General features: G+C 43.4%; 1 protein-coding gene across 19 annotated transcripts in view, besides 2 other annotated features; it reads left to right on the top strand.

Annotated features, from left to right (window-relative positions):
* ERC2 (ELKS/RAB6-interacting/CAST family member 2) overlaps positions 1 to 22,477 on the top strand; it is a 960,157-nt gene that overhangs the window by 817,456 nt on the left and 120,224 nt on the right. The window lies entirely within an intron of this gene.
* Positions 2,616 to 3,129: an enhancer, noted in NCBI's record as "H3K27ac-H3K4me1 hESC enhancer chr3:55681911-55682424 (GRCh37/hg19 assembly coordinates)". NCBI's record gives its function as "activates a minimal SCP1, AML or CMV promoter by ChIP-STARR-seq in primed H9 embryonic stem cells {active_cell/tissue: H9 hESC(primed)}" and the evidence as "EXISTENCE:reporter gene assay evidence [ECO:0000049][PMID:30033119]".
* Positions 3,130 to 3,643: an enhancer, noted in NCBI's record as "H3K27ac-H3K4me1 hESC enhancer chr3:55681397-55681910 (GRCh37/hg19 assembly coordinates)". NCBI's record gives its function as "activates a minimal SCP1, AML or CMV promoter by ChIP-STARR-seq in primed H9 embryonic stem cells {active_cell/tissue: H9 hESC(primed)}" and the evidence as "EXISTENCE:reporter gene assay evidence [ECO:0000049][PMID:30033119]".

Below are 22,477 nucleotides of genomic sequence, written 5' to 3'. Positions count from 1 at the left end.
GCTGGGTGTGATGGCGGATGCCTGTAATCCCAGCTACTTGGGAGGCTGAGGCAGGGAGAATTGGTTGAACCCGGGAGGTGAAGGTTGCAGTGAGCTGAGATCGCGCCACCGCACTCCAGCCCAGGTGACAGAGCCAGAGACTCCATCTAAAAAAAAAAAGAAAAAAAAAACACCCTATGAGAGGCAGACACAAAGGCCGTAGGAATACAAAAAAGGTGGCTTTTCAATTTTGCCTAGGTGATTCATAGAAGGCTTTATTTGACATGGACTTTGAAGGGGTAAGCAGGCTTTTTTTCTGGAAGAGAATTTCTTCATTCATTTAATTGAAGTTTAATAAGCACCTACTTTTTGCCAGTCTTTGTGCCAGGTAAACAAGCAGTAAATATGAAGCAATAAACAATACTCTGCCCTCATAGATTACCTTCTCTCAGGGAGAGTCAGAAATTAAGCAGATAAATGAACAAATAAGTAAGATGATTTTAGACAGTGGTAAGTACAAAGAAGGAAATGAAGGGGAAGAGACCAAGAGGGGAGGATGTTGCCTCAGACGAAATAGTTTGAAGGGCTGATGTGAGAAGGTGACCCTCGGATGAGAAGGAGCCAGCATGAAGCAGGCCAGGGTGGTGATCATCAAGTGAGATGGGGGGAGAGATGGTAGATGAAATTGGAGAGGTGGGTGGTATCCAGTGTGCACTGAGCCTTAAGTGAGAGTCAGTAGACTGAATGTTCTAGGAGAACTGGGGAGCCTTGCGAGGACTCTTTTTGCAGGGAACGCTCTATGAATAAGGAGGCAGAGAAGCATGACAATCACCGTGGTGGGGTGGGCGTTTCAGTGGTGGATGTGGGGCTCTCTCAAATGCCAAGTAGTCAACCTGAATTCTGACAAGCCTTTCTCTTTCCAGTCATAAATAGCCAGGACCAAAAGACAACACAATCCTCTGTTTCACAGTGAGGAATCAGGCTTGGAGGGTTGGAGGCACATGGCCAGCAAGGGCAGTGGAAGGGCTGAGCCGGGATTCAGGACCTGGGACCCAGAGCCTTGTGCCCCTCCCTGCCGGCCCCTCTGCCTCCTGGCCCACCTGCATGTCTTCCAGCGACGTGGATTTAAAAATCCGTTCCCCATCAGACATTTCAGAGAGGCTTTTACAGTTTGTTTTTAGAAGTGTGTTAAAAGGCAGTCACCTTGAATGACTTCTGCTTGACAGAAGTGTCAGCATTGTCACCACCTATTCCAAGGAGCACTGGCACATGACGGGGGTGCCCTGGCTCCATGGGGAAATGAGGAGGAGGGCAAAGAGCTGTTCACCAGAGCTAGCATTCAGGTTCAGCATAGCTCCTCACTGACTGTGTGGCCTCGAGAGAGTCTCATCTTCTTCACCCTGCACCTGCACTTCTTTATGTATAAAACGCATACATTGGATTGGGACAAAGGCATTATTTTAAAAAATTATTGGCCAGGTGCGGTGGCTCACACCTGTAATCCCAGCACTTTGGGAGGCCAAGGCGGATGGATCATGAGGTCAGGAGTTTGAAACCAGCCTGTCCAATATGGTGAAACCCCATCTCTAGTAGAAAATACAAAAATTAGCCAGACCTGGTGGTGCGCGCCTGTAGTCCCAGCTACTCGGGAGGCTGAGGCAGGAGAATTGCTTGAACCTGGGAGGCAGAGGTTGCAGTGAGCCAAGATTGCACCACTGCACTCCAGCCTGGGAGACAGAGTGAGCCTCTCTCTCAAAAAAAAAAAAAAAAAAAATTCAGCGTTGGATAACTTTGAAAGAATCAAGTTAAACAGATTGTCTATGCAGGACTTCTCAGAGCTTTTGATGTGCTAATGAGCACAGTGTGACTCCTAGAGGGAAGTGAAGTCTTATGCCTGTCACAGGTGTATTTATGCAGGTGTCTCTGGAATGTTTGGGGAAGGATGACTTGTAGAACTTTTGTTCCTCAGGACACTCGGGGAGCTGGTCTGTGGGATAAGCCCCAGGTTCTGAGATGGGGGATGAAAGGGAATCTTCATTCATGTCCCTGCCCGGCCTTGTTCAACTGCTACAGAGTGGCAAATTGTCCAGTGTGTCCGTGGTGTGTGTCCCCTCCCTGGTCCCACTTGTACCCTCTCTCTGCCGCTCCCCCTTGTCACAAAAAAGCTGTCTTCTGAGGGAGCATAACAGAAGCAGAAGCAGCATCTCTCAGTCTGGGGTCGGCTCAGAGCTTTGTGTGTGCCAGCCCCTTAACATACCATTTCTCCTGCCTGGGGCTCAGTCCTCGGCAGCCATGTCTCTGAACCAGGGCAAAGGGATACTCTTCTAATAGACAGACTCTGGATCTGATGGTCTTTCTCCATGGGGCTTTCTTTGCACCTTCCTCTTGGGACTCTCTTACTTTTTTAACTTTTTATCTTGTTACTCATGTATGACTCCTCTGCTCAGGGACAACCATGCAGACTGGGTATCTTTCAAGTGGCCCTTGGAGGCAGCCGCCTGCGAGACACATCTCTGTGGCTCCCACAGAACTGTCATCCTCATCCTAATGCCTGCTGTTTATTGAGCACTTAGCATGTGCCAGGCAGCACGTAAAGTCCTTTATCACTGAATCATAGTGTCCTGCAGCAGTCTTAGGAGATGTGGCACTGTTAAGATGTCTGCTAATCAGATGAGGACACTGAAGCTCATCCAGGTTGAATAATTCCCCAAAAGTCTCACAGCTGGCACATTGAGGGGACTGGAAGTCCCACCCAAGTCTGTCCCCCAAGTCCATGCGTTTGATTTTAATACTGCATTGCTCTACTAATATTTGAATGAATAATTTGGGGGAAAGTAAAGAAAGATAAAAGGAGTAAAATAAATGAAGATAAAAGGAGTGAATGAATGAAGGAACGAGTGAGGGAATGAACGAAAGGGAAGAATAACCCTTCCAACCTATCCCCAGCTTCAGGAAGCTCAGCTGGCCCTGCCTCCTTCTTATGGCCCCATCGTCTTGCTGTATTCCACCACCACCCCCCGCTGGGTTACAAATGGGCACTACCCTATTGCGGGGCATGCAGCTGCCTGCCAGCAGCCACCAAGGACTCCCCCAAGTAGCCCACTTCTGCTCCACCCGCCAACGCACACTCTCCACAGGGCGAGGCGGCTGCAGCAGGACCACAGCCAGCTGCGCTTTCAGCTTGCTGGGTTTGTGCCTTCATCGCTGAGTTTCTCACCAAGGGAAGGGCAGCTGTTCTGGGATTGAAACATGAAGAAAGATGGGCCTAGATCAGATAAGCATCCCTTCCCAAGCAGACGTACCTCCCAATTTGCAGACCTTTGTTATATTACCAGCAGTTAAGGAATGTTGAAATGGAGCTCTAGCCTTGATCTGAATTATAATCTCTGAAGCTATATTTAAGTCTACGTAAAGATATTTCAATGTGCTATCTCTGTCTCTCTCTCTCTCTTTTTTTAATTTTCCTTGGCTCAGAGCACACTTGTATCCCTGCAGAACACAGAAAGCCAGGGTATATTTCTTAATGTTTTACATTACAGTTGTAAGTCTTTCTTATCCTTTGATAATCATATTTTAACTTTCAGTCAACGTATTTGTGGGTGCGCCTGTGTGTGTTATGTAGAAGTTCACATTTATACGAACAGCATTAGCTCATTTTATCTTCCTTTCCTTTCCTCCAAAGCTGTACTTGTAAGACTACATGCAGCGGCGGATTAATCCCCAAAGAACTTAGTTCGGCTTTCACAGCTGCTGCCAAACAGCCTGTCTCCCAGGCGAGTGTAGACTTTGTAGTAGTTATAATTAACAGTTCATCGGGAGGCGGGGATTGTAGTGCAGGAAACGAGAACTGGGCAGGGGAGGTCACTAAATACTAATGAAGACTGCCAGCAGAGGAACCTACAGAGGATTTTTGTTCAAAGAGGACAGTTTGAGGAGGAGGATGGGTAACAAAAATGTGTCCTTCAGCAGTCGGCCTGTGGTGAGCTGAAGAAGCAGGTGAACTGGGCAGGCTTCTTTGTGCATGCGTCTGAGAGTGGTTGTGCACCTGTGTGTGTTTGTGTGTGTGTGTTGGATGGAAAAAGGGAGCATATCTTTTAGGACTGTAGGTTTTTTGCTAGTAAATATTGTTCGAAATCTGATTTTTCACTTATTACCGTTGTGACCTTATGTAAATTGTATATAACTGGCCTCTCTGTGCCTTAGCTTTCCTATCTGTAAAATGGGGATTCATTTATTATTCAGAAAATATTTGTTGAGTATCTAGTCTATTCCGGGCACTGTTCTAGACACCAGGGTTGTAGCAATAAATAAAAAGACAAAAATCCTTGTCTACATGGAGCTTACATTCCACTGGGGGAAAAAGCCTTACAGGGACAGTAATAAGTAGGGTTAAAATAGATTGTGCATACAAAATGCCTAGCACAGTGTCTAGCACACATAATAAGATTTTCGGTGAAAAAGGAACAAATATTAGCATTATTATTCTTTAGGTTATATTTACTAAGTGACAACCCTCTAACACTCTCCCAAAAAGACAATCATTCATCTAAATTCCACCATTTTATTCTACAAACAGATTTTTTCTTGGGAAGTAACACAAGAGTATAATACTTTGGAAAAAGATGCTCTGTAAATGTTTTGCTACATCAGTCAAAACAGTGTATCTTTCCACCAGACATCTTGAAGGGTAAAGATGCTTCTTGAATGGATTTTAGCAAAGGAAGATCAGCTCTCAGGTGACAGCTCAGACATGACGAACAAGAACAATGCAGAAAGGAATGCGTGAACAGGTTGGATTAAGAATTGCAGGGCAATTACTTTCTGCAAACCGATATGCAAGAAAGAAACACAGGCACACCTTGTTATCCAGAAACACAATAAGCAAAAATTCACTATTACAGAATTGCAGAATAGGCAACCCCCTATGTAAAAATGGGCTGTTATTAAAAAGGGGGATGGGGGCGTTGTGAAATTGGTTTGGAATGTGGGCCTCATTTTCCACTAGAGTAGAGTTCATAGACTAATTCTCAAGGGCTTATTTAACCTACACTTGCCTGAAATGTATTATTTCCCCCTCACCAGCCACTATGTGCAACATGGCTTTTTTGGAAGAATGCACTGAAAGGGCCCTCTTCTCCTTGCGCCAAGCTGGTACCAGTTTGTACTAACCGTAGAGGGATTCACCTTGGTTTTCCCTTATCCGAAAATTCATTATCCAACGTTGATGGTTAAAAGGTAGCAGGAAAGCCAAAGTTGTCATAACATTGAAACATTCATGAATTAATGGACCACTTATCAAATTAGCCCCACTCAGACATCCTTCCCGTTTTAACGGTGGGCCCCCCACTGTGTCGAGAGTCAACTCTATGTACATCTGTCTTTCCTGGATCATCCAGATGTTTCCAGCATCAAGAAACACAGTGAAAATAGATTGCACAACACTTGCCAATTGAAGCAGCACATTTTTCAAAAGATGCAAGGCTTTATCAAGCTGATGAAAGGGATTTTGGAAGCCAGCTTTGTGTCACATACAAATTCCTTAACAAAAGAAGATAACTTGTTATCAATTAAAAAGAAAAGCCAATAAGCATGATGACAGCCCAAGGGCTTCAAAGTGAGGGATTGGATGTTAGAGGCTTATGACAGGTTCTTGGGAAAGTGGCACATGTCTCAAATATTTTTTTGCAGACTCTTAAAAAAATAAGACTGTTAACAACTGTACTGATGAAAGTAAAGGAGGTCACGTGGTGCCCTCACACAACCTGATTGGGAAGACATGGGCCAAATAAATCAACCCATATTTTATTCTTTGTTCTTTATAAAACTGGCAAGTTGTTGAAATTACAGTTTAAAATTTATTAAAAATAATATACATATACTCATTTCCAAAAATTTTGGTCTCATTTTTAAAGATAAAGTCCCAGATCTCTTTCCCACTATTTACTTTGAAATTTTGGTCCCTGTCAAAGACAAGTACCCTCTTCCAGGTTCCAGTTTTTCTCCGGTAAGGAGAACCTTGTGTATTTAAACGGGGGAAGTTCTCACGCTAGATGACCACTGCATAGATATGCTGAATTATGGGTAGTGAGCAATATGGAAGCAAAGCTACCCATCACTCTCACCATCTCTCTGTCTACACTGGTGATGCTTAATCTTTTTCAAGGTCATGGGCTCCTTGGATGGAAAACATGATGATAACAGAGGACTCTCTCCCCAGAAAATGCACAAGCATAAAGTAAATTTCAAGGGATTCACATACCCTCTTGATATCTATCCAAGGGGATCACAGATACTAGATCATAGATATAAATAACCCCAAATCTACACCAAACTCCAAATTATATATTATTTATTCATCATATAGATCATATATACATACACACTCATACATACACTTATGCACATACATTTAAGTACCTATTAATTGCCAGATGACTTTATATATTTTCAGCCTTTTTTGTCCCTGACAGTGACCATATGGGGCATGTAATATTGTCCTAATTTTACTAATAGAGGAACTGAGCTTGAGTAAAGTTAGGTGACTTGCCCAAGGTTAATAAGTGCTTGGTCCTACTTTTCAGACACTTGGGTTTTCTAAGGCTTACGTCCACACTTTTTCTATGACATCAGGTCAACTTTATATGTCCATATACCATGCCACATTTTTTTCTTAATAAATAACTTTCACAAAGTCTTTCTTTATTCCCATAGAAATGCTTGTTTGTGGTAGAAGAATTACATGTTCTAACCCTTAACTTTTGACGTGTTTTCTATTCTCTCTCCCTTGTTTTCTTTTTAAGTTGAAGAGAGTGCGACTATTATTATTATTCTCATTTTACAGATGGTAAAAGGGAGGTACTGGGACTTCAGTGACTTGCTGAGATCAACCAACTAGTTGACAGCTCATTGATGCTCTAACTTGGGTGGACTGGCCGGCCACTGGGCCTGCGGATAGAGCCAGGCTGCCCTCTCACACCCTGCCCTCCTCAGCATCTGCTTGACCCCTTTCATCCTGTCCGTAAAGACCCCCAAATCATTATGCATCCACAGTCATATTTTAACTAGCCCTAGCATCCCCATGTCTGGAGGGCATTTGTGAGTTTGGTTTTCATTATTTTTTCCATTTATCTTGAAACTCAGAGACCAAATATTTATAGTGAAAGCTGCTTTGCATTAATAATTCAGAGTCTGAATAGTATTTAAATTTTAATATTTTTTCTCTAAATATTTTATCTTCAACATTAGATGCCAACTTACATCTGATTTTACTACAAATGGAAACCATAAATTTCTCCAAAGGTATGCTTGTTCAGTAATACATATGTTTAAAAATAATGAGAAAATAATAATAGCTAAAGTTTTCTCTGTGCCAGAAACTCTATTGAATGTTTTATGTGCATTAACTCATTTAATCTTCATGATAACCCTATGAGGTAGGAATTATCATTATCTCCATCTTACAGACGAGGAAAGTGACGTACAGACAGATTGAGTGGCTTGCCCAAGATTGTAACCCTAATAAGGAATTTGCATGCAAATTTTTTTCAAGTCCAGTAAAATTCAGTTCAAGGATGTAATGGCAAGTCCCTTGAAAACAGAACCACACCCTAGAGGAGGCATTAGAAACTCTCTTTTATCTAACATTGGCCTTGCCAGTGCTCTATATCCACATGATGATGATTGATGCTCATAATGATTACCTCAAGGCAGAATAAGATTTTGAAAAATCTTCCCCACAATCAAGGAAATATCAGTATCAAAGAAGTATTCAAGGAAAGGTGAGCCTAGATTTTTAAAAAAAATTTTAAGTTGCATTCTAAATCTATGATGATTGCCAATCCCATTTTTAAATTTACATTATAATTCTCTGAAAATATTCCTTTAAACAAAACACTTTGATCCTACCAAGCAGTGTCAGGAAGACTGGCTCCCAGAGCCCCATCCACAGCTGGGTCCTGCAGAAAAGTTTCTCCAGACTGGGTAGCCACTGCCTCTAAAATACTCAAGAGTAAATTTAGTAAATTTCCGTGCTATATTTGCCCATGAAAATATAAAACCAGGTAAATAAAGTGGTAACAAGATTTCATAATGATTTCCTCTTTAGGCAGATAGATGCATACATACACTTGTATATATGTGACTTTCAGTGTAAAAATATTTTTTTTCCAGTAAAGGAAAATATTGCCCCTCATCTATTTCTGAACTGCTTAGTCTTGAGAGTAAAACACTTCTAAATCCATATACAATGTGAATTTAACAAGCAAACTCCTCCATTCCTCTCCCTTCACCCCACCTGATGAGATATTTGGCACACTTTGGGATGACATAGGAATGGCACAGTATCATTATGTGGAGAGAGCAAATCAGTGTAGAAAACAAAATTGGTCAATTAAAGCTGCGATCTGGTTGGGCACAGTGGATCACACCTGTAATCCCAGCACTTTGGTAGGCAGGCAGATCACTTGAGGCCAGGAGTTCGAGACCAGACTGGCCAACATGACGAAACCCCATCTCTACTAAAAATACAAAAAATTAGCTGGGTATGATGGTGCATGCTGTAGTCCCAGCTACTTGGGAGGCTGAGGCACAAGAATTGCTTGAACCCCAGGGGCAGAGGTTGCAGTGAGCTGAGATCATGCCACTGTACTCCAGCCTGGGCGACAGAGCAAGACTCTGTCAAAAAAGAAAAAAAAAAAGAAAAGAAAAAAAAAAAAGCTGTGATCTGTGGAAAGCGTAGGAGCCAGAGAGAAAATCTGGGCGAATGTGCAGAGAGACTGAACTTAGCCTATTTCCCTGGGGAGAGAGAACATGCTCACTCATGAATGACAGTGGGATATGGCTTTTCCTCTTTGCCTGATAGTGTAAGGAGGAATCTCTGAATTACTTACAATCCCCAACTCTATACATTCCTCATTGTTTATTCATTCAGCAAATATTGAGTGCCTATCTTGGGCCAGTACTATGTTAGTGCAGCACACAGTGTCTACTCACTAGGGTTCCTCCTTCCTGGGAGTAAGGGAACATTGCATGTCTCCACCATGCAAATGATTTCTGGCCAATAGAATTTGAGTGGAAGTAATGGGCTACTCTTCACCTTAAAATAGTCTTTGTAATCTTCCTTGTGCCCTCTGAAGACATTTAAGACTACTTGGATCAAACTGAGAAACGTAATGGGCTAGTAAGATGGATGGAAAAGATGGCTAGATGGTTGAGTATGCAGTTTACAAAGGCACTAAGGCACCTAAAGTTGAAATTTCTGCTCTTCTTTTAACACCTTATTCATGATAACCAAAACAGTAGAAGGAAAAGGAGAGAGGCATCAGTAGGGAAGGTTCCTGTGCTGCAAGAAATAGGAACCTATACAGGCTATCTGGATCCTAAAAGGATACATAATAGTCAAGAGTCTTGCATCAATTCAAACTATTTTTTAAAAGGGAAGGAGTGTATATTGGCTTTTTTTTTTTTTTTTTTTTTTTTTTTTTTGAGATAGAATCTTGCTCTGTCACCCAGGCTATAGTGCAATGGCGGGATCCTGGCTCACTGCAACCTCTGCCTCCGAGGTTCAAGCAATTTTCCTGCCTCAGCCTACTGAGTAGCTTGGATTACAGGTGCACGCCACCATGCCCAGCTAATTTTATTATTTTTAGTAGAGATGAGGTTTTGCCACATTGGCATGGCTGGTCTCGAACTCCTTACCTCAGGAGGTCTGCCTGCCTTGGCCTCCCAAAGTGCTGGCATTACAGACGTGAGCCACCATGCCTGGCCTATATTGGCTCTTATATCTGAAAAGTCAGGGTATAATGACTTCAGGTATGGCTGCATCTAGGGGCTAAAAACAATGGCATTGGGTCTCTGTCTTTCACCATCTTTTGGCTTTGTTTTCCCCCAAGGGGATTTCATTCTCTAGCAGACTTCTATTGTAAGATTCCCCATAAAATAGAAAAACAGCTGCTGACAGCCCCAGATGCTTATATAGCAGTATGGACACCCCAGATGTATGGAAGCCTCTTTCTCCCCTCCGATGGATTGTCATTGTATCAACTTTTGTCGCGTTCCTATCCATGAACCAATTACTATATGGCTAAGAAATAAGTTATTTTAATTGACTAGTCCTATGTCGTGTTCGCTCCCCACAGTCTGAGAATGAGAGAAGTGTGAGTCCCCAAAAGAAAAATCAAAGTACTGTTACAAAAATAAATTGTACTGAGTAATGAACAGGCAAAAAGAACGTCTCCTACAGGGCTTGTTGAAGACCTGCAGGGACTGTTGTGGAGTTGAAGGGCTAGAGGGGTAGCTGAGCTACACAGGACTCCATCTGGGGAGTGGAAAATCAGGATGTTTGTCTTCTACTTTCTCATATGGTCTTCTGTCCCCTCTCATTCAATGTTCTTTACCTTCCTCATGCCCTTACCACAGCCTCCGTGTTCCCACAACCTTATCATGGACTGGTTCAGTCTCTTGGAATCCCTCTTTCTCAATCTCTAGGGGAGGAAGCTCATTAATCCATCTCAGAACCAGGTCACCTGCTACATGGCACTGGCCAGCCTTATAGATGTATTTGCCTGAAGCAGGAGTCCTAACTTGGTACAGTCAACTCTGTACAAGTTAGGGCAGATCAAGCTGTCTGTGGGGTTTCTCTTTCCAGGGCTGTGCATAAGGTAGGATCGTTAGAAAGGTGTGGCAGAGAAGGCAATAATATATGTCAAGAACAGGCAAAAACTTGGGCAGAATCAGGCTACAAGGCCATTCTTGGAATGTGAGCCTTGTAGAAAAACCTGGAATCTCATTCCTTGACAAAGACAGATGGACCAAGAATGGGCTATCAAGGAAGCAGGAAGTCCAAGTTAGTTACCAAAGAGGATGACAGAAAATCAAGGCAAGGGTGTGGCTGCACTAACACAGCCACAGACTTCTCTGCGGGGGAGGTGAAGTGCAGCCACAGGACGTGTGAATTGTGGCATCTTTCAATATCATGCAGAGCAAGCTTCCCCAGGCAGCGCTCGTTAAGCTGCTCCCTCCGACATTGACATAGCTTTCCCTGGGGCTCCTGCCCTGTGTGGATCTGCCTCCTTCTTATTAGAGGCAACGGTGAGACTTTGAGTGTCGCACCACCTCTTCTCCCTCAGCCTTGGTCCAAGTGTGAAAACATCTGCTTCCTGCCCTTGATAAACTCATCGGCAACACAGGGGTTTAAGTTAATTTTATTAGAAATGAAAATTAAACATGTGTGCATGCACATGTGCGTGTGCCCACACGCACACATACCCCACAAAAACCAAAGTATCACACATTCAGGCAAGTAGATTGAATTAGGTTTGGTTGGGTTAAAAGCAAGAGACAGGTTTTCTAAATATAAGGATCGAAATCAGCCAAGGTATTTACACAGGAAATCTTTCCTGACTGACGTAGATTTAAGCAACAGAGCTTTCAGGCCAAGCTAGGATGTTAGATCTCCCCCAGTTATTCACTTGTTTGTTCATTGATTCAACAACTATTTCTGTGTCTATTTTGTGCCAGACAGTGTGTCCCAGACTCTTCTTCCTCTTTGTCTCCAGCCTATACTTTCTCTCCCTCCTGTAGGCTCCCCAGGCTTCTCTGTGGCTCATGTCCTGGTCCCCAGTCTCCTGATTGTGAATACATTGTCTTCGCTGGCCTCAGATATTCCTCCCCTGCAGTTCAGCACCTGGATTTCCAAGACGCATCACCACACCCTTGAGATAGTTCTCTCTCTGTCCATTTGGGGTTGGGACATGCTAGCACTACTTTCCCTGTGGATGAAGGTAGTGCTCTTCTCCTACCTGGTCTCCCTAGAAGTGGTGACACATTTTCATACTGTCTGAGTATCAGATTCTGGACACAGCCAAAGTCCTCTTTGACCCAGCCTACACACTTCTTTCAACTCTTTGTTTGAGAACTTCCTCCACCTCTATGCACATATGCAGAGTTAGATAGCTCACCGACCCTGAATCCAATGAGCAATTTGCCTGGTTTTGAAGCCATTTCTATAGGGTGTTCTCAACGCTCAGGTATTGTCAAGGGAGATGTCATAGGTAGTGCTTTTACCAGGTACCATTCATCTTATTGTCTTTGAAACCAAACCCTGTGCTGTCCACCATCTCCACTAAGATAAGATGGAGGTCATTCTGTGAAGGTTGTAGCTGTACCAATAATACTATTCTAATGTAGTTTGGTGAGTAGAAATAAAGAACAATGCGTAAAGTTTTCCTGATTTCCTTTTAGTTTTTAGAACAAAGTGGTAGTGATTAGCCAGCCCTATCCACCCTTAAGGAAGTCAATTTAAAACCTGGTAACCAGCCAACAACATAAAAGTATTTGAATGCTGTGTATTTATTAATTAATGTATTTACTTGGGGGATGGGCAAGGACTCTGGTTCCTGTTCTTATGGTGCCCTTTAGCAGAAAGACTACAGACTCTAACGTGACTCTTTGGGGAATCTCTCTGAAGTAGTAAGTCATTCATGGCCAACATTTTAATTGAAGGTAATAATAATTCCAATAATATTATTAAGAACCACCATTAGCTCAGGAAGGACTAAATTCACTGACGTAATGCCAAAGCTATGCACAACGATGACTGCTTTGCCGAGCCCCTCGGGGAATAACTTTCATAATCCATTGAAAAGTTATGAGCTCCTTGTGCTTGCACCAAGAAAGAACTCGACATTAACCATTTGAGAAGCCATGTAAAAATGGAGAAAAAGCTACTTGTGCTTTTAACAGCTTAATTAATGGCTGCAAATGGGGTTAATTCTCACAAAAACCCCATGGAGGAGGTTGGGATGTGTGTTGACAATGGAAAATTATCCTGATTTTATAGGTGAGGGCAGTTTCCAGACACTAGGAATGAACATGGTCAGGGGGAAAGAGAAAAGATGACTTTTTGTTGTGGGAGGAATGGGGCCCTGGGCCAGCGGGCTCACTGTCTGGTTTGGGACAAGGGAAATCATTGTGTGGGGAGAAATGAATGGAGTAAGAGGAATCTGGCTTAAGAGCCTAACAGAATTGGGTTCAATTATTGCTTTTGCCATTTGTTAGCTTTCTGACCTTGGGCTAAAAGTGTTAACCTTTCAGATCCTTAGTTTTATCATCAATAAAATGGGAAAAATAACAGTAGCTAACTTGAGTCAGAGGGGTCAGTGAGAAAATGCATGTCAAATTCTTAGCCCATGTAGATAGCTACTACTATCTAGTATTCACATTATTTTTCTTTATTAACAAATTCTACAAATATGTAATAAACACCTACAGTGTGCCAGTGACGATGCTCGATAGAGAGAGCAGGTTCTTTTGACTTGATTGTCTAGTAGGGAGTTAACAAAAAAAACTAAACATATCAATAAGTAAAATGCTTGCAAATTGTACTGCATTTGAAAGCTGGCTCCAGTGAGTACTCAATGCATTCAAGCTGCCATTTGCACCCAGGGGCAGAGACTTGGATTTTAGAGTTTGCAGTAACTTGGGTTTTAGAGTTGAGGAGACCCCGGTCAGCCCAGCCTGGATGCCAGTCTCTGCTCCCAGTCTGTGCCTTCACACAAGCCCCTCATGCCTTCTGAACTCCACTTCTCCCTCTGCACATGGGCCTGGTCCCTGGCAGTGCTTGGAACCTGATGAGTCCTCAGCAGGTAGAGATGCTACCTAAGCGCACTCCCACCCATCCTTTGAGCAGCTCTGGTTCATGCCTTTCCATATTCCACAGTGTGTTTCTGTACTCTCCAGGTGAAAGGGAGAATGAGAAGGAATTACATTTCTATTTTTCTGCCTAGACATAGATGAGAAAGTTTCTATCCCCAACTCTGAGGATTTGGACAAAGGAGTGCTATCATTGGTTTGAGAAAGAAAAGAAGGGGAGCATTCCAGGAGGACCTTTGTCCTGTCAGGGCCTCAGCCACAGGCCTGATCCCAGGAGGAACTGGGTGCAACAGGCTGTTATACTGGATGGGCCAGTCCCCAGGAGAGGGACAGGAAGACAGGAGTGAACGGGCACACCTGTGAGACCACAACAGGTCCTGGCAATGGTCGGGAAGTGTGTGACAGGGCACAGTGAATGATTGGAGAGAAGCTAGGAGGGACTGACTTCTCATGGCCTCCTAGCTTCCCTTGGAGTGATTTGGTCTAACACTAGGCTTATAAGTCATGACTGAGCACTTATTTTGCAAATCAGGTCTGGTTTGTCATTAGCAAGGTAGGCCTTTAGAACAGAGGTCTGCAAACCGTAGGGCTGCGGGCCAGATTCAGTGCCCTGCCTGTTTTTGTAAATAAAGTTTTGTTGGAGCACAGCCACACCTCTTCGTTTATTTTCTGTGGCTGGTTTCATGTCACAACACAGGTAAATAGTTGCGACAGAAACCATATTGCCTGCAAAGCTTAAGATATTTACTTGCTGGCTCCTTACAGGAAAAGTTTGCTGACCCCTGATTTAGTGTATTATAGTTTGGGTAGGAAGAGATTCAGTCATCGATGCACTCATTTGTTCATTGAACACATGTAATTATTGATCATCTAAGGTGCTCTATGCACTGTGCCAAGCCCACAAAGTGTCCCAGGTGCTGTGCTCAATCTTATAACAGCTGTGTGAGGCGATGATGTTATTACCCCATTTTGCAGGTGGGGAAATGGAGGCTGAGGGAACGTGAATGATTTCCCCAAGGTTACAACAGCAAGGAGCAGAACAAGGACTGGAACCAGGCTTGTTAGTCTCCAGACTCTGCACTGTCAGCCTTACTCTTTGACAGTGTGTTCCATGTTTGTCCTTATTCTGCCCTGTGAATATGGATTACTGTGAGAAAGGAAGAAAGATTAAAATGTTGAAAATACATTTTTATAAATCTCTGATGGAGGCTGGGTGCAGTGGCTCATGCCTGTAATCCCAGCACTTTGGGAGGCCGAGGTGGGCGGATCACCTGAGGTCAGGAGTTCAAGACCAGCCTTGCCAGTATGGTGAAACCCCGCCTCTACTAAAGATATAAAAATTAGCCGGGCATGGTGGCACAGTCCTGTAATCCCAGCTACTTGGGAGGCTGAGGCAGGAGAATAGCTTGAACCCAGAGGCGGAGGTTGCAGTGAGCCGATCACACCACTGTACTCCAGCCTAGGAGACAGAGAGACTCCATCTCAAAAAATAAAACAAAATAAAATAAAATAAAATAAAATAAAAATAAAAATTAAAAAATCTCTGATGGGAACGATTGCTATTTAAAGTGATGGATGAGTGAAGTTGCCACTTATTTGGGAGAGCCTCTGCTGGGTTGAGATGATTCTTCATTATGCGTGTTTCTAAACTTGAACTCTAGTTGCTTTAAATGATATCAGAAAATCATCTGAGGCTGGGCGCAGTGGCTCACACCTGTAATCCCAGCACTTTGGGAGGCCAAGACAGATGGATCACTTGAGGCCAAGAGTTCAAGACCAGCTTGGCCAACATGATAAAACCCCGTCTCTATTACAAATGCAAAAATTAGCCAGGAGTGGTGGCGGACGTCTATAGTCCCAGCTACTTGGGAGGCTGAGGTACAAGAATTGCTTGAACCTAGGAGGCAGAGGTTGCAGTGAGCTGAGATCGAGCCACTGCACTCCAGCCTGGGTGACAGAGCGAGACAAAGAGACAAAAAAAAAAGAAAGAAAAAAAATCATCTGAAAATGTTTTCCCTCATAATGATATGATTTCACCACTAATGTTTATAAACATTAAAATGACAGGAAGCATTTCCTGTTCCAACCTGACAGAGATCTTGGAGGATTTGTCTAAATATTCGCATACCTTTAAAATAATCAGCAGATGACTGTCTGGATAAGAGGTCAAAAAAAGGATTTGTAGAAAAAAGAAATAATAGGCCGGGCACGGTGGCTCACGCCTGTAATCCCAGCACTTTGGTAGGCTGAGGCAGGCAGGCAGATCACGAGGTCACGAGATCAAGACCATCCTGGCCAACAAGGTGAAACCCCGTCTCTACTAAAAATAAAAAATTAGCTGGGTGTGGTGGCATGCACCTGTAGTCCCAGCTACTCAAGAGGCTGAGGCAGGATAATTGCTTGAACCCAGTAGGCGGAGGTTGCAGTAAGCCGAGATCGTGCCACCATACTCCAGCCTGGCTAGAGAGTGAGACTCGTCAAAAAAAAAAAAGAAATAATAAAGTGAGACAGGTTTTCCCTTTGAGAACTCTGAAGTGCTATGGGAAAGGGAAGAGTTGCCCTCCTGCTTTAACAGGTTAAAAATGAACCACTATTAGTGAGCAAAAGTGAGATTGCGTTATCCTTTTAATGCTCATTCTAGACACAGCTTTTGCCAGCATCTCCATGTGATAAATGCAAACCAGAGTTTCTAATTGGAAATAGGAGAAGACCATCTTAGCCGAATGGACCACACTTCCTTCTAATGACTATGAAGATGGTTTAATCTTACAGTCTAAGTAGAGGTTCTACTGACAGGTTCTCGTATGAACTGATTAGGCTTCCCCCGTAGACATTTTTATCAGACTGATTCATTCCTCTGGAAGAATGCTGGCTTTTACGTTTTTTTAGAAGAGATTCTAAATGGCTTGTCAAGATTACATCTTTCATGTGAATCTCAGCCAGGATTATGTTACAGCCGGGACTGACAATATTCAATAGGTAGAATTTGGCCAAGATCGTAGAAATAGAGCAGGCTGGTCCCAATAAATAGTAGGAGCATGAATGTATGGTTTACATACATCCCAAGTAGCTTCAAGGCAGTCTGTGCATTGGATATCCTGGGGGAATGCATGGATACATAAAGTGTAATATTCAAGGAAAATAAACTCAACTTTTGTCTAGTACTTATGGCATGGGCAGATTCTTATAAACTGTCTTCGTGTCTGGGGCATTCTGTGACCTGCATTCCTCACCACCCCTTCAGAGCTGCCTGAAAACCACATACATAGGAAGAGGAGGGAACCAGACCCTTTTGTGCTAAGCTGCCCTAATGCAGAGGTCTCTGCTGCATTTGATATGTGCTGACAAACTGACCACATCTGAAGGGGCTGCTTTGGAGTGGCAAGTCCCCTGATCTTGGAACACAAATGAAGTCTCTATAGAGGCCATGTGGGAGGTGGGCAGAATATGTGGCATTTCCCACCCGGGACCCTTGACTCCCAGGCATGGTGTGTTTTGTGATGAGAAACGAAGGGGACTGGAGGGATGTGCATCAGTCAGCTTTGTGTTGATTAAAAAGAATGAAGGATGAAATCATTTAAGGTTTAGTTTTGCTTTGAATGAAATATGAAAGGAGAAATATATTCACTCTTCCTGGACTCAGCAGAATGTAAGCTCCATAAAGGCAAACATTTCACCCATTATCCTCACTGCTGCAGCTCCAGAGTCTAGGCCAGTGTTTGCAAATAGCAGGCACTCTATAAGTATTTGCTGAATTAATGAAAGGCCATTGAGTGTTCATGTATGTATCTGCTTTCTCAATACCTGTTAAATAAACATCTATTATATGCCAGGCCCTTGAAATAAGGAGCAGTCCCCGAGAAGCTTACAGCCCAGTAGAGGGAGACAGATATGCCACTCAGTGTTTTTCCACCTTTTCAGAACCTTCGTGGGGAAGGGATATAGAGTTATTTTATAAAATCCTAGACCCCCTAGAAAAGGTCATGTGAGGGAGTCATCCCTCCAGAGACCCTACTGCCTAGTGTTCTTAAAGCCCACAGTGCAGGTTTTGCTGGACTCAATTCTGTTTGTTCATTCACTCACTCATTCATTCAGCAGACATTATGGAATGCATTCTCTATGTCAGGTACTCTTTCAGTTGCTGGGGGTGTTCCTAGGTCCTTATGTTCTACCCTGGATTATGTTATCTGGGTGCTTTCTTGCATCTTTTCAGCAAATATTTATTGTGTGCTGATATCGGTCAGGCACAGTACTAGACATTGGTTACTTATCCTAGAGCTCACAAAAGCCCACCAAAGAGGGAGGTTACTCATGTGTGCACTTCCCTATGCCTAGGAGATAATAGGCAATAAGGCTTCTCTTGATTAGATGGATAAATAGACAGGTGGACAATGGGTACTCTGGAAAAAATAGTGACAAGGTCATAAAATGGGAAGATCACATACTAGGAATTTGAACACTTGTGGTTTAGTCCTGGCGAAACTAATTTGGGACCCTTTAGCCTCTCAGAAACAGCTAGCTGACTAACCAACTTCCTTTCTTTCTTCTTTCTTCTCTTCACTCCTTCTATCTTCTCTTCCTTTCTTTCACAGAATTATATTGAGGATCTTGGTGTTAATTGGGGTGAGAGATGATATTGGTCTAAATTATCCCCAAGAATCCTACCAGCTCTAAATATTATGATGTAATGATGGTTTAGGTGAGTTACATCTTCTTTTGAGTCATCCCAAAGTTCTAGATTAGGACTGCAATCATCTCAGGCTGCTAAAGATCCTATAGGATGGAGTGGGGGTGGGACATAACACATGGCCAAGCCAGATGTCTTTGGGCCACCCCTTGGGCTTCCACTGAAACCAAACTTAAGAGAATAGAGAGCTGGATATTGGGGGCAAAAGTCCTTGCCTCCTTGTCTCCATCTCACCTGGTTTCCCAGAGCCTGACAGCCTTCCAGCAGTGAATTAAGACCAGATTCCTGGAAAAAAAAATATGAGCTTGAACCTCATGGTCATCCATACCCTGGTACCCTGGGCCTCCTTGCTTCTCTTCTCCAATCAGTTAGTTCTCAGGTACAACTGGACCAAGATGAGAAGCTGATGTTCTATAGGGATCCACAGTGTTAATTGCCACTTGGCAGCTCTGCAGGTTGGTATGTATATGGGCACACATCACATATTTCCTGTTTGGCCAAAGGATCAAGACTTCCCCTGCTGGTGTGCATAGAGGGAACCAGCTGTTTGGCAGTTCCTCCAGCTCATCTGCCCAGTGGGAGTTCATTCAGAGAGTAACTCAGCACAGTATCAGGTGTGAGCAAGACTCAGTGCAGACTCCAAGGTCAAGCATCCTTGGTTGCAATCGCAGTTCCTCCATTTATTAGCTATGAGACCTTGGGCAAAGGACTTAATATCTCAAAGCATCAGTTTCTGCATATGTTCCAGGGGAGATGATAAGAGGGCTGACCACTCAATATTGTTGTGAAAGTTGAATGAGATAATAGAAGTGGAATGCCACACACAGGGCTGATAGAATAGATACATGGTAAACAAATGGAAGCACTTTTTAATTGTTATTGTTGCTCTTTGTGGAATTCTCTTAGAAGCCAACAGTGTGGATTTGAGAGTGATAAAAATCCCCACATCTTTATCCAGCCACCTGTCAGGTGATGGTTGGTGGCTGGCCAAAAGCTGTCCATTTGGTCACAGTATTCTGGAAAGAGCATTCCAATGACTCTTCCCACCTCCTAAATTTTCTCAACCTTCTTTTCACTGCTGAGAGCCCCTGACTCCACAATAGGAAGAAACCAAGTGGGAGTTTAGTTGAGTGTACACTGTAAAGATGGTCCATTTAGTTGGCAGAGCTAGAGTTTTGGAGGAGGAGTTTGAAACTAGCTTGTAACTTTCAGTGCCAACCTGGAGGTGTCAGGCAATATTTTTCCTTTCTTCCTGGAAGGTCCACAACCTCCTCCAAGGGCAATCTCCTGGATTTCACTGAATTGGCTGTTATGTTTGGAAACCAACTTGTGCATCTGAGCATTTAGGGGAAAGCTATTGACTAACCCTTGCTCTTTTTCAGCCTTTCTTCCTTTTCCCAATATTTAGGAGCTTGGCCAAAACAAAGAGCCCATTGTGTCCCTGGTACAAGCACCAGAACTCAATTAAACATTCATTGAGTCTTAATTAATTGTATTAAGGTTGGGCAATTCCCATTGCTTGGGGAAAAAAAAAACCCCAAATACTTAATTTACTCGCAATGTGGTGTGTGTCCCCTAGTATTGAACTAAACCACCATGAGACAATCACTTACTTAACAGAAACTAGGGCCTCAGCCTGGGAACTAATTAGCCTCTCTTTCTCTATATATAGCTATCTTCACCACCAGGACCATCTGGAAGTTGTTACCTTCCAAATTCTTTCCATCTATTTTTTTTTTTCCAAACTGATCATTACTGCCATGATTCCTTCTTTCTTATTTTTATGTTACGTGACTTCCCACTCTTAGATTCTCCAGTGTTATCTAGATCACAGCCCGGATACTCTGGGTATTTACTCTCTGTTTAATTTTCAAGTGGCACACCTATTTTTATGTACTTTTCCCAGTGGCAGGAAAAAAAGAAAAAAATCTTTGTGTAAAACCTAGAGGCGGAAGCAGGGATGACTGCCAAGGAATTTGGGCCTATCCAAGTTGACGGTGTGTCCACCAGGGAGGCCCGTGAGCTCTGTGAAGCCCCTACAGTAGTGTCTTTGATGGCTGCAGACACATGAGGAGGTCTCAGAAGGACCTGGTTTCTTGCCCAACTCATTGAGCAAAAAGTACCAGTATAATCTGCAAAAAGTACCAGTGTAATCTCCCCTTTCTCCCCACAGTCAGGGTCTACTTTGCTTTGAGAGTCAGTAAGGAAGTATAAAAACTGTCTTATTGGCCGGGCGTGGTGGCTCACACCTGTAATCCCAGCACTTTGGAAGGTCGAGGCGGGTGAATCACCTGAGGTTGGGAGTTCGAGACCAGCCTGACCAACATGGAGAAACCCCGTCTCTACTAAAAATACAAAATTAGCCTGGTGTGGTGGTGCACGCCTGTAATTCCAGCTACTCAGGCGGCGGAGGCAGGAGAATCACTTGAACCTGGGAGGCAGAGGTTGCCGTGAGCCAAGATCGCGCCATCGCACTCCAGTCTGGGCGACAAGAGCGAAACTCCGTCTCAAAAAAACAGAACAAAACAAAACAAAAAGTGTCTTGTCTGATAGTATGCTTTAGGAGAGTAGCTGCAAATATTTCATGAGCCTTTAATTAATGTGAAGTCCTTACTGGCTCACAAGGGCTCCCCCAGTCTGGCTCCCGTCTTCTCTTCCGTCCTGTTACAGAGCCTTGCACTGATTTACCAAATTCATGGTACCCCACTTTCTTTCTACCCCTCCCCACCAGTACGACTAGCTTATTGCCACGCAGGACCTCTGAGACTGCTGTCTCATATGCTTGGAGCCCACCCGCTCTATGGTTAGAAGGCTGGCTCCTTCTCATCATGTGGGGCTCAGCTTATCTGTAACCTCCTGAAGAGGACTCCCACACCCTCCAGGTCCTGTCTGTCACATTCCCCTGTTTTATACTGTTGATAATACTTGTCACCATATGAATTAAGTTATTTATTTGTTAACATGTTTGCCTGTCTTCAGTAGAACATCTATTCATGAGAAGTACCTTATCTATGTGGTTTACCATCGCAAGCCCAGCCCTGGCAGAGTGCCCAGCTCTGCAACTGGTTGTTTAAGGAAATACATGATCAGGGAACAGCTAGTCTCTTTCTGAGTATACAGGTAATTATGCAATGTAGGTGTTTAGGATACTTTGGTCATTTAGAATACAATTCAAAAGTAACAAGAAGCAAGGAATATTATGAGAAACCTTGAATTACTGTAATAAAATCACCAGGAAAACTGGAAGTCATAAGCTAACTTTACCTAACATGCTCTCCAAGTCACTGTAAGTTTCAATGTGTTTTATTTCTAGTGTTTGAGAGTCCTTTTGGGATAAGCCTTTTGGCTTCCTCCCAACCCCAGGCATCAAAGCAGAAGCAGCTTAAGCCTTCTAGAGTTCATCGTGTACTGGCTTCCGATCATCTCTGGGAGCCATGGCATCTCTGCCACCCCACTCCCTAGGCATCCCTATGATAGTGAGCTTCATGGTATTTATTGCTCAGTGGCTCCAAGTGAGCCGCGAGGCCCAGGAGACTGCAAGTGTAATGAATCCTTGCTTTATGGAGGGTGGGTCTCATCTTCAAGTCTGAAGACAGACTCCCTCCAGGCAAAGGGAGATTTCTTCTTGTCCCTTTACAGTAGTTCATCTGCATCTGTTTCCTTCCATCTCTGCTTCTTAGTCCCAAATGGTGAAATCCCTGGATAGCAAAGCTCCTGGTTCTCAACTTCATTCATATAAGAAAGGTTCTTGGTGTCCAGATTTCGGCATGGCTAGCAGGACACTCTCTACAAAGTATCATATGTCAGAGGCTTCAGTCCCAAGGAGGAATTCAGGTACTTGAGAATTCAAATCTACAACTTGTTCTTCAGGCATTTTGATTTCCCTTTCAGTGTCACATTGGATTCAACCAGCTCATTTTGGGGAGGAGAGAAAATATTCTTAATAGCCAGGTTCCTGGCTTGGCCTTCATCTAGAAGCCTTCCGCTTTTCATCTTCTTTTTTCAATGACATTTTCCCAGGCCTTTCCTACTGAGCCTTTAGGACTGGAATCCAAGGAAGAAGGGATTTGGGCCTCGATGGAACCCTGTGCCAGTCTATTTCTTGGCTACTGATTGATCTTCATAAAAACAGTCAGAGTAAACAGAAAGAAGTAGAAGGAA

This window comes from Homo sapiens, chromosome 3 (assembly GCF_000001405.40).
Source record: "Homo sapiens chromosome 3, GRCh38.p14 Primary Assembly".
Taxonomy (NCBI): domain Eukaryota; kingdom Metazoa; phylum Chordata; class Mammalia; order Primates; family Hominidae; genus Homo; species Homo sapiens.
This window is presented reverse-complemented; position numbering and strand designations above follow the sequence as displayed.